Source organism: Homo sapiens, chromosome 11 (genome assembly GCF_000001405.40).
Source record: "Homo sapiens chromosome 11, GRCh38.p14 Primary Assembly".
Classification (NCBI taxonomy): Eukaryota; Metazoa; Chordata; class Mammalia; order Primates; family Hominidae; genus Homo; species Homo sapiens.
This window is the reverse complement of record NC_000011.10, coordinates 59,095,778-59,107,221: the sequence shown is the minus strand read 5'-3', so window position 1 is coordinate 59,107,221 and position 11,444 is coordinate 59,095,778. Positions and strand designations below refer to the sequence as shown.

The 11,444-nt window shown below is 44.3% G+C and overlaps 1 long non-coding RNA gene across 5 annotated transcripts, besides 5 other annotated features; it reads left to right on the top strand.

The window, feature by feature from the left end:
- Positions 7-96: an enhancer, noted in NCBI's record as "active region_4744". NCBI's record gives its function as "activates an Ori minimal core promoter by ATAC-STARR-seq in GM12878 lymphoblastoid cells {active_cell/tissue: GM12878}" and the evidence as "EXISTENCE:reporter gene assay evidence [ECO:0000049][PMID:35858748]".
- LOC105369315 (uncharacterized) lies at positions 497-10,968 on the top strand. Of its 5 annotated transcripts, XR_007062678.1 has the most exons (4): positions 497-5,057; positions 9,776-9,903; positions 10,312-10,384; positions 10,725-10,968. It is a non-coding gene; the product is annotated as an uncharacterized LOC105369315 (long non-coding RNA). The 5 variants fall into 5 exon arrangements; XR_001748221.3 differs by lacking the exon at positions 9,776-9,903; XR_007062680.1 differs by having other exon boundaries at positions 497-9,590; positions 10,312-10,968.
- Positions 4,202-4,702: an enhancer, noted in NCBI's record as "H3K4me1 hESC enhancer chr11:58869993-58870493 (GRCh37/hg19 assembly coordinates)". NCBI's record gives its function as "activates a minimal SCP1, AML or CMV promoter by ChIP-STARR-seq in naive H9 embryonic stem cells {active_cell/tissue: H9 hESC(naive)}" and the evidence as "EXISTENCE:reporter gene assay evidence [ECO:0000049][PMID:30033119]".
- Positions 4,572-4,691: an enhancer, noted in NCBI's record as "active region_4743". NCBI's record gives its function as "activates an Ori minimal core promoter by ATAC-STARR-seq in GM12878 lymphoblastoid cells {active_cell/tissue: GM12878}" and the evidence as "EXISTENCE:reporter gene assay evidence [ECO:0000049][PMID:35858748]".
- Positions 9,293-9,462: an enhancer, noted in NCBI's record as "active region_4742". NCBI's record gives its function as "activates an Ori minimal core promoter by ATAC-STARR-seq in GM12878 lymphoblastoid cells {active_cell/tissue: GM12878}" and the evidence as "EXISTENCE:reporter gene assay evidence [ECO:0000049][PMID:35858748]".
- Positions 10,076-10,185: a silencer, noted in NCBI's record as "silent region_3359". NCBI's record gives its function as "represses an Ori minimal core promoter by ATAC-STARR-seq in GM12878 lymphoblastoid cells {active_cell/tissue: GM12878}" and the evidence as "EXISTENCE:reporter gene assay evidence [ECO:0000049][PMID:35858748]".
- Positions 10,969-11,444: the final 476 nt, after the last annotated feature.

Genomic DNA, 11,444 nt, shown 5'->3' with positions numbered 1-11,444 from the left:
ACTGCTCTTTTATATCTCTCAGCTGAACTTTTCCCGCCTAGAAGGGCTCGCCCGTGCGCGGCAGGAGCCTGGGAACTGACACTCTCGCTGGCCAATGGACGAAGAGTCTCTGGAGGCTGTTTTTCTCTCATTGGATGTAAATGACTCATCTCTCATCCACTGTGGAAGCCAATTATCATCACTCCAGACAGTGATTGAAGGGAAGGACCGGATGAGCGCGCAGCGCGCGCAGGTGGGTCTGAAGGCCGGGCCGAGGGTACTGCGCGCCAACCCGCCCACCCTCCCTATTTGTCTGGATGACCCTTCCCGGTCTCAGTGATCCCCTCCCCGGCACCACTCAGTCCACGGCCAGTTCCCGTGTCCCAGGATAAACTAAGCAATCACCGCCCTGCTCTTTCCCGCTCATGGGCGTCCCCTGTCTCCCAGTGGAGGCTAGGGAGGAGCTGCGCGGTAGCTGGGCGGAGTGGGAGGTGCCTGGAGGTTTCGCGCTTTCTCCGACTTTTGATTGCCAGCGCGCTGGCGGGAGCCGCGCGCTGGCGGCAGCTGCAGGGCGAATAGCCCGCCAAGTTGCTTAGGTGTGTGGCAGTTGCTGCCTTTCTGCAGCGGCGGGGTGGGCGACGGTGGCGGGATGAGCATCCAGGCGGGATCCTTTGGCGGCAGCAGCAGAGAGAGCTCCACCCGGATAATGCAGAGGCCCAGGCTCCAGCGGACTTCAAGTCCCAGAGCAGGCTGCACCCGCGTCTGCGTGAAATCTAAAGGGACTTGGCCTGATCACAAATGAGCTAACTTCGCGGCGGGGCTGGCGAACACAGACAATGCCAGCCTGGAGGAGGCAGTGGCCAGCACTGCTTAGGCCTCGTTCCCAGGACGCGCATTACTGAGTGCTGTACTTTACCCTTTGGATGAAGGCTCCAGAGTACGACCTCCCCAAACTGATATCAAAGAAGTGCTTTGCATGGGGCTTGAGAAAACATCTTACTGTTTAAGAAAAGAACGTCTTACTGTCTGAGAAGCTGAATAGAATGAGATGCCATCAGTATTGGGTGTTATTTTTCAGAAGTTGCTCAAAGAAGGAGAGAAGATGGTTAAGTGGGGATGGAGACAATTATTTTGTAACTCATAGAAGGACAGATGTTTATGTAACAGTTGATAGTTTTGGTGGAATAATCATGAGCATGTTTCTGAAATTAATATAAAATATACAGAGACCCCTAAAATCACTGCTTAAATTACACGGGTCTTGAGGTGTTCGGAAAGAGCAAACTTTGGAAGTATAATTGTAAAAATAATGTCATACAGACAAAGAGAAGAGAAAACTTAACGACAGCTTTCTTAAATCGCTGTTATTCTTGAATCATCTGAAAGCAGTACACGTGCCTGGCACCAATATACATCAGAGAGTAAATCATTGCACAAGGAGACTTGATCTTCTTTTTTTGTAGAATCTGGAGGAAACAAATCTATGAAAAGCAAGAGATGGTAGAGAATGGTGTTGTCGAAATTGCCTGACATCATTGGAGATAGAGAATTTGCCCTGGTAAAAGGTGCTCCTCAGGGAGGAGCATCTGCACATTCCATTAGCATAAAGCCCCTGGTGGGCCATATGAAGAAGTCTGGATTTTGCTATAAATGTGAAATTTATTTTAAATGGAGGATTTGAAGCAGGGGGGTAATATACCCTGACATATTTTAAAAAATCACCCTAGCAGCGTTTGTGCGGGGTAAAGACTCTGGGAGGACAAGAAGAGATGTGGAAGGGAGAAGGCAGCTAAGAGTCTGTCCCAGGATTGCAAAGATGTTGGAGCCCGACCTCAGATGGTAATGGTGGAAGTGTTAGAAATGGCTGGATTCCACATTTATTTTGAAGGGCCAGCCCTTGGAATTTGCTTATGGATGTTCCATAAATAAGAGAAACAGAGGGCTCAATGACGATTCCTGGGCTTTTGACTTGAGCAACTAGAAGGATGGGGAAGTCTGAGGACAGAGATGCTGTGTGTGTCAGGAGTGGGGTGTGTGTGTGTGTGTGTGTGTAAAATTCTACTTTTGACATGTCGAATTGGAGATGCTAATCCACTCCAACTGAAAAATAAGGAGGGAAGTGGACATTCAACACATGATGACAGGAAGACAGGGAAGCTGGGACTTATGATGGTAACAATGTTGGCCATTAACTGAGAATTTTTTTTTTTTTTGACACAGAGTCTTGCTCTATTGCTCAGGCTGGAGTGCAGTGGCATGATGTCGGTTCACTGCAACCTCCACCTCCTGTGTTCAAGCGATTCTCATACCTCAGCCTCCTGAGCAGCTGGGATTACAGGAGCCTGCCACCATGCCCAGCTAACTTTTGTTTTTCTAGTGGAGATGGGGTTTCATCATGTTGGCCAGGCTGGGGTCGAACTCCTGGCCTCAGGTGCTCTGCCTGCCTCAGCCTCCCAAAGTACTGGGATTACAGATGTAAGCCACCACGTCAGGCCTAAGAAATATAATTAAAGTACAGGGAAAATTAAAAGAAAGTTCACAGAGAGATATCACGGCAAATGATAAATACAAAAGCCTGCCTTGTTTCCCATACCCCCTGTGTCTTAGATTCCCTGAATTTTACCTCCCAGTGGACCGTGCTTGTCCCTTTGTAATGGCGCTCCAAGCAGCACTGCTGCACACCAATTCCTGAGCTTCCCTGCTTCTTGAGCTTAGGAATAGTTGTGCTTCTATTTCCTGTTTATTTGCTCATCACTGGAGTAGCAACTGAACCACACAATTGGGATAAGTACCCTGAGGCCATTTTGGGAGTAATCTTCCATTTCTTCCTTACGTATAAAACTGCCCCTCACAGAGAAACTGTCTAGAGTGATAGGTCCAGAGTAGAGCTCTAGCTTTGCTTTACCCTTTGCAGCTGTGCTCTGAGAGCTTTGATGCAATCCCACTGCAACTGGAATCAGTGACAGAGTAGGGATGCTCAGGGAATCTGTTGGGCCACCAAAGAAAACTCACTTCTAGCTAATGCTTATCTGGGGCTATGGAAGTTGTCTAACATCCCTGGGGACAGAGTGTTTGCCCTGAAAAGGAACATTCCCTTGGCACAAAGTATCCTGTTGGCTGGATTTTATTATAAATGTGACAAGAATGCTTTTGGCCAGTAACTGGTGGTTGGGTCAGTTTGTGTTTTGTAAACCCATAAAGAGGAAAAGGCTCTCATGTGGTTGGGAGAGGTGGGAATGGATCATGCACTAAGGTCAGGTCTGGTGAAGTTAGGGAATAAGGCCAGTGTTTACGAAGAGTGATTCCTTCATGAACCCCTAAAAGATGCTCTGGAACACTACCAGTAGGATGATGTCTGTATGTAGAGGTGCAGATGACATGTTCTCGGAATACAGAGGAAGGCACCACTGCCTCTACCTTGAGAGTATATCACAGAGAAAGATTTATATTTGGACTAGATGGCTGAGAGATGAGTAGGAGTTTGATAGAAGAGAGCATGGAAACTGGCTGTACAACGGCAGAAAGGGCAGGAAAGGCTGAGGAGAATTGGCCTCTGGGGGTGGGTTATAGATATGGGCCTGGGCACCACATTCTGGAGCTTGCAATGGGGTATGTAAAAGCTTAGATGGGATGGTCTTTTCCTCTCCTCCCATGGGTTCATAGTTGGCCCACCTCACTCACTGCTGCAAACAAGCTGCCCCCATTTGAGAGAGAGCTGGAGTGGGGTCTCTAAGCCTCCAGCAACCACTTAGGAGCTAGCCTTGATGCCCCAGCAGCTAACCTCATGGAGACCCCATAGTCCATCCTATCTTGGGAAGACAATGCAGGCATGGGGAAGGTAACATTCCCCTCCAGACTCCAGAGGCTCCAAGGAGCCTCTCTCTCTCTTCAAGAAAAGAAATAGTCACTGAGCCACGGGTGGAGGTGAACATGGTTTGGGACCAACAGGCGGCTGGATGGTTTCACCTCCACGGTCATACAATGGTACTGGGAGATGAATGGGGGTAGGGCGATCTAGAATTAGTTCAACCTCAACTTCCAGTGGGGTGGTGCTTGGAGTTGACTCATTGTGGCCCCATTTAATATTCGCAGTCACCAGTTGGGGTAGGTGGGACTGTTGCTCCCATTTCACAGATCAGGACAGGATAGTTTGCTAGAGGTCACAGGACTAGTTGGGGAAAGGAAAGGGTGTCAGGTAGGATTTTAACCTTAGAGCCTCACGTTTTCTTAGGCTCTTTCAGGGGGACCTTGGGCAAATTCCGTTCTCTCTTGGTGGGGGGGGGTCTCCATTCCTTATTTGTAAATTAAGGAGTTCTTCCAGTTTGTGATTCTCTGTACTTTAACTTGGATAGGTTTTGTAAAATGGGGATTATGGGAACCCCACTATATTTAAGTAGAGTAGGTCTGGGGTGAGGCCCAGTAATCTGCAGCTTTGAACAAACCTCGGCATCCACAAAACTGGCTGAGATACTCAGGGAAAGTTTATGATGCATGAAAATCTTATTGCGAGCTGTCCAAAACACATAACACTGAGCTCCATCTGCAGAGATCCTGTTTTGATACCCTTGGTTGGACTGTGGCTGGGTAATTTGCATTTGTCAGAAGTGAGGCCAGTCACCTGGTCAACAACCCCTCCTGTCGCTCTGTGACCCTCCCCGGGCGTCCGCGGTGCTTCTTTACTTGCATCTTGTGGGAATGACATCTGCGCAGGCAGCCCCTTTTTAGCACCGCTCCTCGCACGCGAGCCCAGCCCTTAAAAACCCAGCCCAGCCCCGGGTTTGCAGATACTCAGGGCAGGGGAAGGCGCCTTTCCGCATTTGGTGTAGTCCCGCATGCTGCCATTTGATGTCGCGGGAGAACGCGCCTACAGGGATAGGGCGGGGCAAGGAGGCGAGGAAGGAAAAAAAGCGACAAGTGAAGACTGACATCCATTAAGGTCAATGGTAGCTCAATCTTCGGTTCTCTGACTCCCAAGCTTCCCATTCTCTTAGGAGGCTGCATTTGTGGCGCTAAAAAAAGGGATGGGCGTGGGAGATTCCAGGACATGTGCTCGCTGAAGATACAACTGTTAGTCCAAGGTAACTCCCACTCGTAGTGGCTCAACCCTCTTTGTCAATTCACCTTCCTCTAAGTTAACTATGGCTGCTCCACCTGTCTTTAGGGAAACCTACTCCCCATCGCGCTGGGTATTTTGGATTTTTTAAAAGCGTCGCGGGGTAAAGTCAGTGTTGTGCTTTTCCTTTTCTCAGCAGGTAAGTATTTCTGGCGCTGACAGCGGAGAGCTGCCGGGCGGGAATAGGGGTGAAGAGAGAATAGGGAGAGAGATAACAGGTGTGAAGCGTCCCTCAATGCCAGGCATCCTGCTTTGGCACCTTCAGTAAGTTTGTCTGAATCATCTTTCTATTGAATTCACTTTCTGTTTCACAGATTAGGAAACCTCAACTAAGTGGCCCAAGGACAGTCCTTGGATAATTTTAACTTGTGTCAGAAACCAAAGCCTAAGGTCTTTTATTTTGCAGAGGCTGCTTTGGCAGGATTTCAATGCATGCAGGTCCTGCGAATCACTGCTCCTCACTCACTGATCCATCCCGCTGTCCACACATTCATTCACCCATTCATTTCTTAGGGGCTCATCTGCAAGGCGTGGGGCTGGATGATACTAAAAATACAAAAGGGACTCTGATGTAAAGTAGAAGAGATTTTTTAAAAAGATTTACCCAGAATTCCGGTGCTCAGCATGGTTTCGATTTTTCCCCCCAACATACTATTGATACCTGTTATGTTCCACATAATATGATGGATTCTGAAGATACAGAGATGGGTGAGACCTATCCTTGCCTTTCAGAAGCTCGTTGTCATAGGCAAGAGTAATCTCTGAGGTTAAATTTTAGATATCTATTTTTTAACAAATTGAGCATCAACTCTATATATTCTACTGTAATTAATGTACTAAATAATTAAATATTACACACAATTTCTTATTTTTTAGATGAAGATGAATCTAAATGGTGGTTCAAGTATGTCCTTTGTTGATCCTAGTGGACCATCTTGGGTGCTTCAGACTGAAACTCTACCCTCCTGTTATGTGCTTGGCTCTATTCCTTCTTTCTGCAGCTCTCTGTCAAATGCCAGGCTTTGAGGGAGACCAGTCCTGACCCCTTCCTGTTTTCTCTCCTTTTTACCTGCTCCTATCTGAGGCCTCTTTTCCTATTTATTTGTTGTTCTTTCTCCCTCCATCATCTTCTGTCATCAAATCATGTGTTTTTTTTTCATATACTACATCTGAGTTTATAGGGAATATGTTCAGAGTTGTTTTAATTTTTGGTTTAGTTTCTGCCTCCCTGCTCCAGAATGTAAGCTTCAAGAAGGGCAGTGAGGAGTTCTTAACACCCGTCACTGCCTGAGAAACGGTTGGGGATGGAGGAAGACAGCTTTGCCGGGTACATCCTGAAATCCCCTGAGGTGGGGGTGGGAGTGGAGGGAAGATCAGGGAATGTCCATTCATTTTATGAAGTTGAAGTTGGGTTAAATCCTATTATATCCTGTGTTGTTGTTTGTTAATCTCAACTTGAAGCCCTCATCGCTAGTCATCCACTTTTTGCTAGCTTTGTGACCTTGAATGAAGGTTCAAGGTTACCTTGTTTCTTTGTACCTTTATATCTTATGTATAAAGTGGAAAATTATATTTGGTCATCCTAAAATGTGATGTCATAGGGAATCAGTCACTTGAGGGTAAAAGACAAATCAATTTATAAGGCTGCAGAAATTACATTCTTGTGAGGGTCAAAGAAAGATATTTGTGGATTTGAGAGTCTTCAGATATTATATTGGTAGCATATTTACATGCAGAAAATACTGAAGAAGCAATTTTAACTAATCAAATAGGAACAGAGATTTCAGATAGGAGCAGAAAATAAGGAGAGGAAACAGTGGTGAGTAAAAAAAAATTGACAAATTTTATGTAGAGAATTAACTCTAAATGGACAATGATAGGCTCTCTGGGAATGTGTAAGAAAAGTTTTAAAGAAGGATTCTTTAAATGGATGCGACACACTGCAAGGGAAATTCTGTGACACCTGGAACTAAAACACATGGAACTAAAACATCGGTCTCAGGGGGTTGAACGGTAGAGGAATAAAAGCATTTTGTATCACTTAGCACACTCGTCTGGATCAGAGGAGGGAGCAAAACAGGGAAATGAATCTATTGGAAGATATCAACTTATTGAGGTAAAGGAGGAAATGGTGAATAGCTGTTACTTTATTTTATATAATAGTAAAAAAATTTGTGTTCAATTATGAGCACTAGAAACAAATACCAGTGATTGAATAAAAAGTTAATAAGGGAATATGATGTATAAGTGAGTTAATAAGAGAACTTGAGGGATAAGTGAATTAATAAGAGTCCACAGTGGAGGCAATTTCCCCTTTTGAAAAACATTATCTTTTGAATATATGCAGGATATACTTTGCAAAAGAAAAAAAGTGTATATTGGGGAAAGAATTTTCACTCATTCTCGAGACACTCAATACTTTTCCCTAGATAATCTATGGCTATAAAAGCATAATAATGCCTTTTTAATATATTTTCCCAGCAACTAAGAAGTTCAGTGTTTATAATTGTAATAAGAAGCGTGCTGATCTGGCCTGAAATATAGTTTTACTTTAGATATATGTCTCATAAATAGTATTTGAGAAGTCAGGGAATATGCTTAGAAAGGGATTACCAAGGCCCTATAACACATGAGTTTGAGGGCACAGGGAGATTAAGATTTAGAACAAAGTTAGGTGAAATCTAGGGCCAAAGGATAGCAGGGTGTGTGTGTGTGAGTGTGTGTGTGTGTGTGTGTGTGTGTTGGGTGGGGCAGGTGGGAACCTTTGGAGAATGCCTGTAGGCTGCTAGTGAGGTGCTATGATCTCTAGACCTTGGTAGGTCCTTGCAAAGAGACATGGTTCTGAAAGGTTGGCACCCTTATAGGTTCTTAAAATATTTTCGTTATCCATAGGGGTGAACCTGGAGATCATTACCAAAGTTTAAAAATTTCACCACTGGGCACACAGGTTACCCTTCTCGTGGTGGCATGGCAAAGCTTGATTTGCAAGAGTTTCTTTTGGATTGTCCCCAATGATTCCCTTTAAAAATAGGAGCTCCTTCAGGGTAAGGAAGGAAGGAGAAAATATCCCTTCTAACCTATTTTCTCTTTTTCATTCCAAGGACTCTGGAAAGGCACAGCAGGTTTGGTTTTGAAATCTGTAGAATTTTAGTGCTCTCCATTCTCCCAAGTAGATGACTTTAGTGAAGGTAAAAGGAAAGACTGTTTGCTGTGTCAAGGGAAGATTCATATGCAAATCCCAAGACTCAGATGTTATTTCAGAAGAGTTGGTGTCCATAGTAAAGTAGAACTGGCCCGGGTTCATCTGCCTACAAGGGCAATTGTCTGAGGCAAATATGAGGAAACTGGCAGAACAGGAGGGGTGGAATCTTCCTGGGAGAAAGAGTAAAGAGAGTTCTAGGTGGAGAGGGGATCAATATGTTGAGCAAACACCTGGCTGTCTTCTTAGTTCCTATATGAAATCATGGAAAAGACTTTAGAACAAAGAATAAATATGTCATAGCAGGAAAACAAAGAGCAGTCTTTTGGCCAGAAATAGAAACTGTTAAAAAGAAAAACAAACCAACAACAAAAAAAAAAACACCTTTAAGTTTGAAAATGACAGAAGTTAAGAAGTGGAAAGTTGCCTGGGATATGCTTTTATTGCAGCCTCTCTAGTAAACCCGTCCCCACTTCATCTTTGTGTCTTTGCTTATCCTAAGCAGCATGGTGGCAGCCATGGCATTCTTCAGGCTGAAGTGGTCATTTTTGGCACTTGGGCTTGAGATGGCAGTGAAGCGGCATCGTTTGTCTGGGGAAATGCCAGAGGTTTGCTGTCTCACAGTATGGAAATTGTAGATGTGGACACCAAAGGAGTGGGTTTAAGAGCAAAAGTTTAATAGGCAAAAGAACAAAGAGAGAGTTTCCTCATGCATTGGAAGGGTGCCTGAGCAGGTTTCCGGGTTTGGGGCGAGTTGTGGTTGGTTTTATAGAGGAGCTTGAGGAGGCAGTGTCTGATTTACATAGGGCTCAGAGGGTTGGTTGGAGCAGGTGTGCTATTTATGTGATGCACGAAGAGCCTGGCCATCCCACATGAATCTTTAGTATGCAAACGGGGCCTCTACCTGGCCTGTGCCGTGTCGCCTGCACAAGTGAAGACAAAGAAAAGGAAATAGGCGGCCAGGCGTGGTAGCTCATGACTGTAATCCTAGCACATTTGGAGGCCAAGGACGGTGGATCACGAGAGGTCAGGAGTTCAAGACCAGCCTGGCGAAGATGGTGAAACCCTGCCTCTACTAAAAAAACACGAAAAAAAAAATTAGCCATGCGTGATGGTGGGCACCTGTAATCTCAGCTACTCAGGAGGCTGAGGGAGAGAATTGCTTGAACCCAGGAGGGGGAGGTTGTAGTGAGCTGAGAATGCACCACTGCACTCCAGACTGAGTGACAGAGCAGGATTCCATCTGAAAAAAAAAAATAGGAAGAGGAAACCTCTATGTTGAGTACGCCTGACTTCCAGGTATCCCTTTTCTATTTGCATAGGTGCCGGCATTTACCTATGCAAGCTTTTAGCATGCTTGCGGCTTGATTTTTTAGGCTGATTTTCGCTAGAAAAGCGATTATATGGGGGCTGCTTTTTATTAAAAGAAAAACCTTACTGAGGACTCTCTTACCTACACTAACTGCTTAATAATTTCTTTTTAGCTCCTGTATCAGCAGTGCTTGTGCCTGATAGGTGATGATCATGAGGGGGACCAGGAGCCTCTAGACTTAAGAGACAAGTTGCCAGCATTCTCCAGATGGAGTGTTTCCCTCCCCAGCACCACCTGCTGGTCAGTTTGACAAGCAGATGAAGGGAAGTTCTCAAATACACAATAAGCAGATAACCCCAACATCACCAGAAATAGCAAGTTGTGATGGCAGTTTGTCAAATTGTCTTTATTTTTTGTCAGCATCATCTGTTGCTTTCTGAGGGAAGTTTTTTGAGTTCTCCCACTGAGACTGTGGATTTGCATTTTTCTTTTGTATGTCTGTCAGCTTTTGCCATGTATAGTTTGTAGTTGTGTTGTGTTGTGAGGCAGATTCATGACCTATGTTGTGGGAGAATTTCTGTATTTAGCAGATGTTCAACTTACGTTCTATTTTGCCAAGTGTTGATGGTATTACTTTGCTTTTCAGTTTCACGTTCATTTAGTATATCTTCTTCCTTTCCGTGAACCCTTGTGTGTTGTTTATTTCAGATATGCTTCCTTATGAACTGACGGTGACTCCCAAATTCATATGTTGAAGACCCAACTCCCAACGGACTTGGAGGTGGGCCTTTGAGAAGTAATTGGGTTTAGATTAAGTCATAAGGGTGGAGCCCCCTTGATGGTATTAAGTCCTTCTAAGAAAAGGAAGAGAGTCTGAGCTCTCCTCTGTCTCCACCATGTGAGGGCACAGAGATGTATGCTTCTTGGATTTTGTTTTTAACTCAGTATGAAAAACATATATTTTAATAAGAAAATTACCCCATTCATTGTTAGTGTGTTTATTGATAATGTTGGACTTACTTGTGCCATATTTAAGAAATCCTCTTTCATCCTTCCCATGCTTTCTTGTTGTTTTTTTAATGCAAGTGCATGATAAGGTTTAGGGATCACTTTTTTAACAGGTCCACGAAGGGCTAGATAAGGGAAGCTGGTTTGCGTTCAGGGAAGCGGCAGAGGAGGGAAGCTGGCAGCTGGGCTGTGCTAAGATGACCTTAGCCCCAGACCCTGGATGAACATCCTCTTCTGGATACAGGACCTGCCCGAGGCATCATTTTGAAATAGTCAAATTTTATTTGCTTTGTGTTCTTTCATCACATATATTAGCTTTTGCCTCTTGAGTGCCAAAATATAGCTGTTTTTATATTACCCCAAGTTCCTGAGTTTATTTTTTAGGTAAGAATTTTCCACCCTTTGAAATCCCAAATGACATGTTTACTCTCTTTCTCAGACCATGCTTTCATTTCAGTCAATGTAACAAATCAGCCAGGTCTCAGGAGTTTAGAAATCTGATTGGATTGATTTATACTAAGCGGTAACAGATCTACCACAGCCTTCTAAGATGAATTGGAGTTTCTTAAAAACTCCATGACCTACACTATTCTTTAGGTGCTGGAATTGCACACTTTCAAATCACATCAAGTATAAACATTCAATTTTGTGGGGGGTTATTTTCTATGGAGAGATGAGGTGTTGATTAATACTGGTAGGCTTTACTCCAAAAGACAATTCTATTAAGATTTCTTTTGTTTTTTAAAATCTAGACTATCAGAAGGAGTAAAAATGCCAATTTTTTTTTTCTTTTTGCTGTGGCTACAATGTTCACAGTAATCCAAGCTCCAATG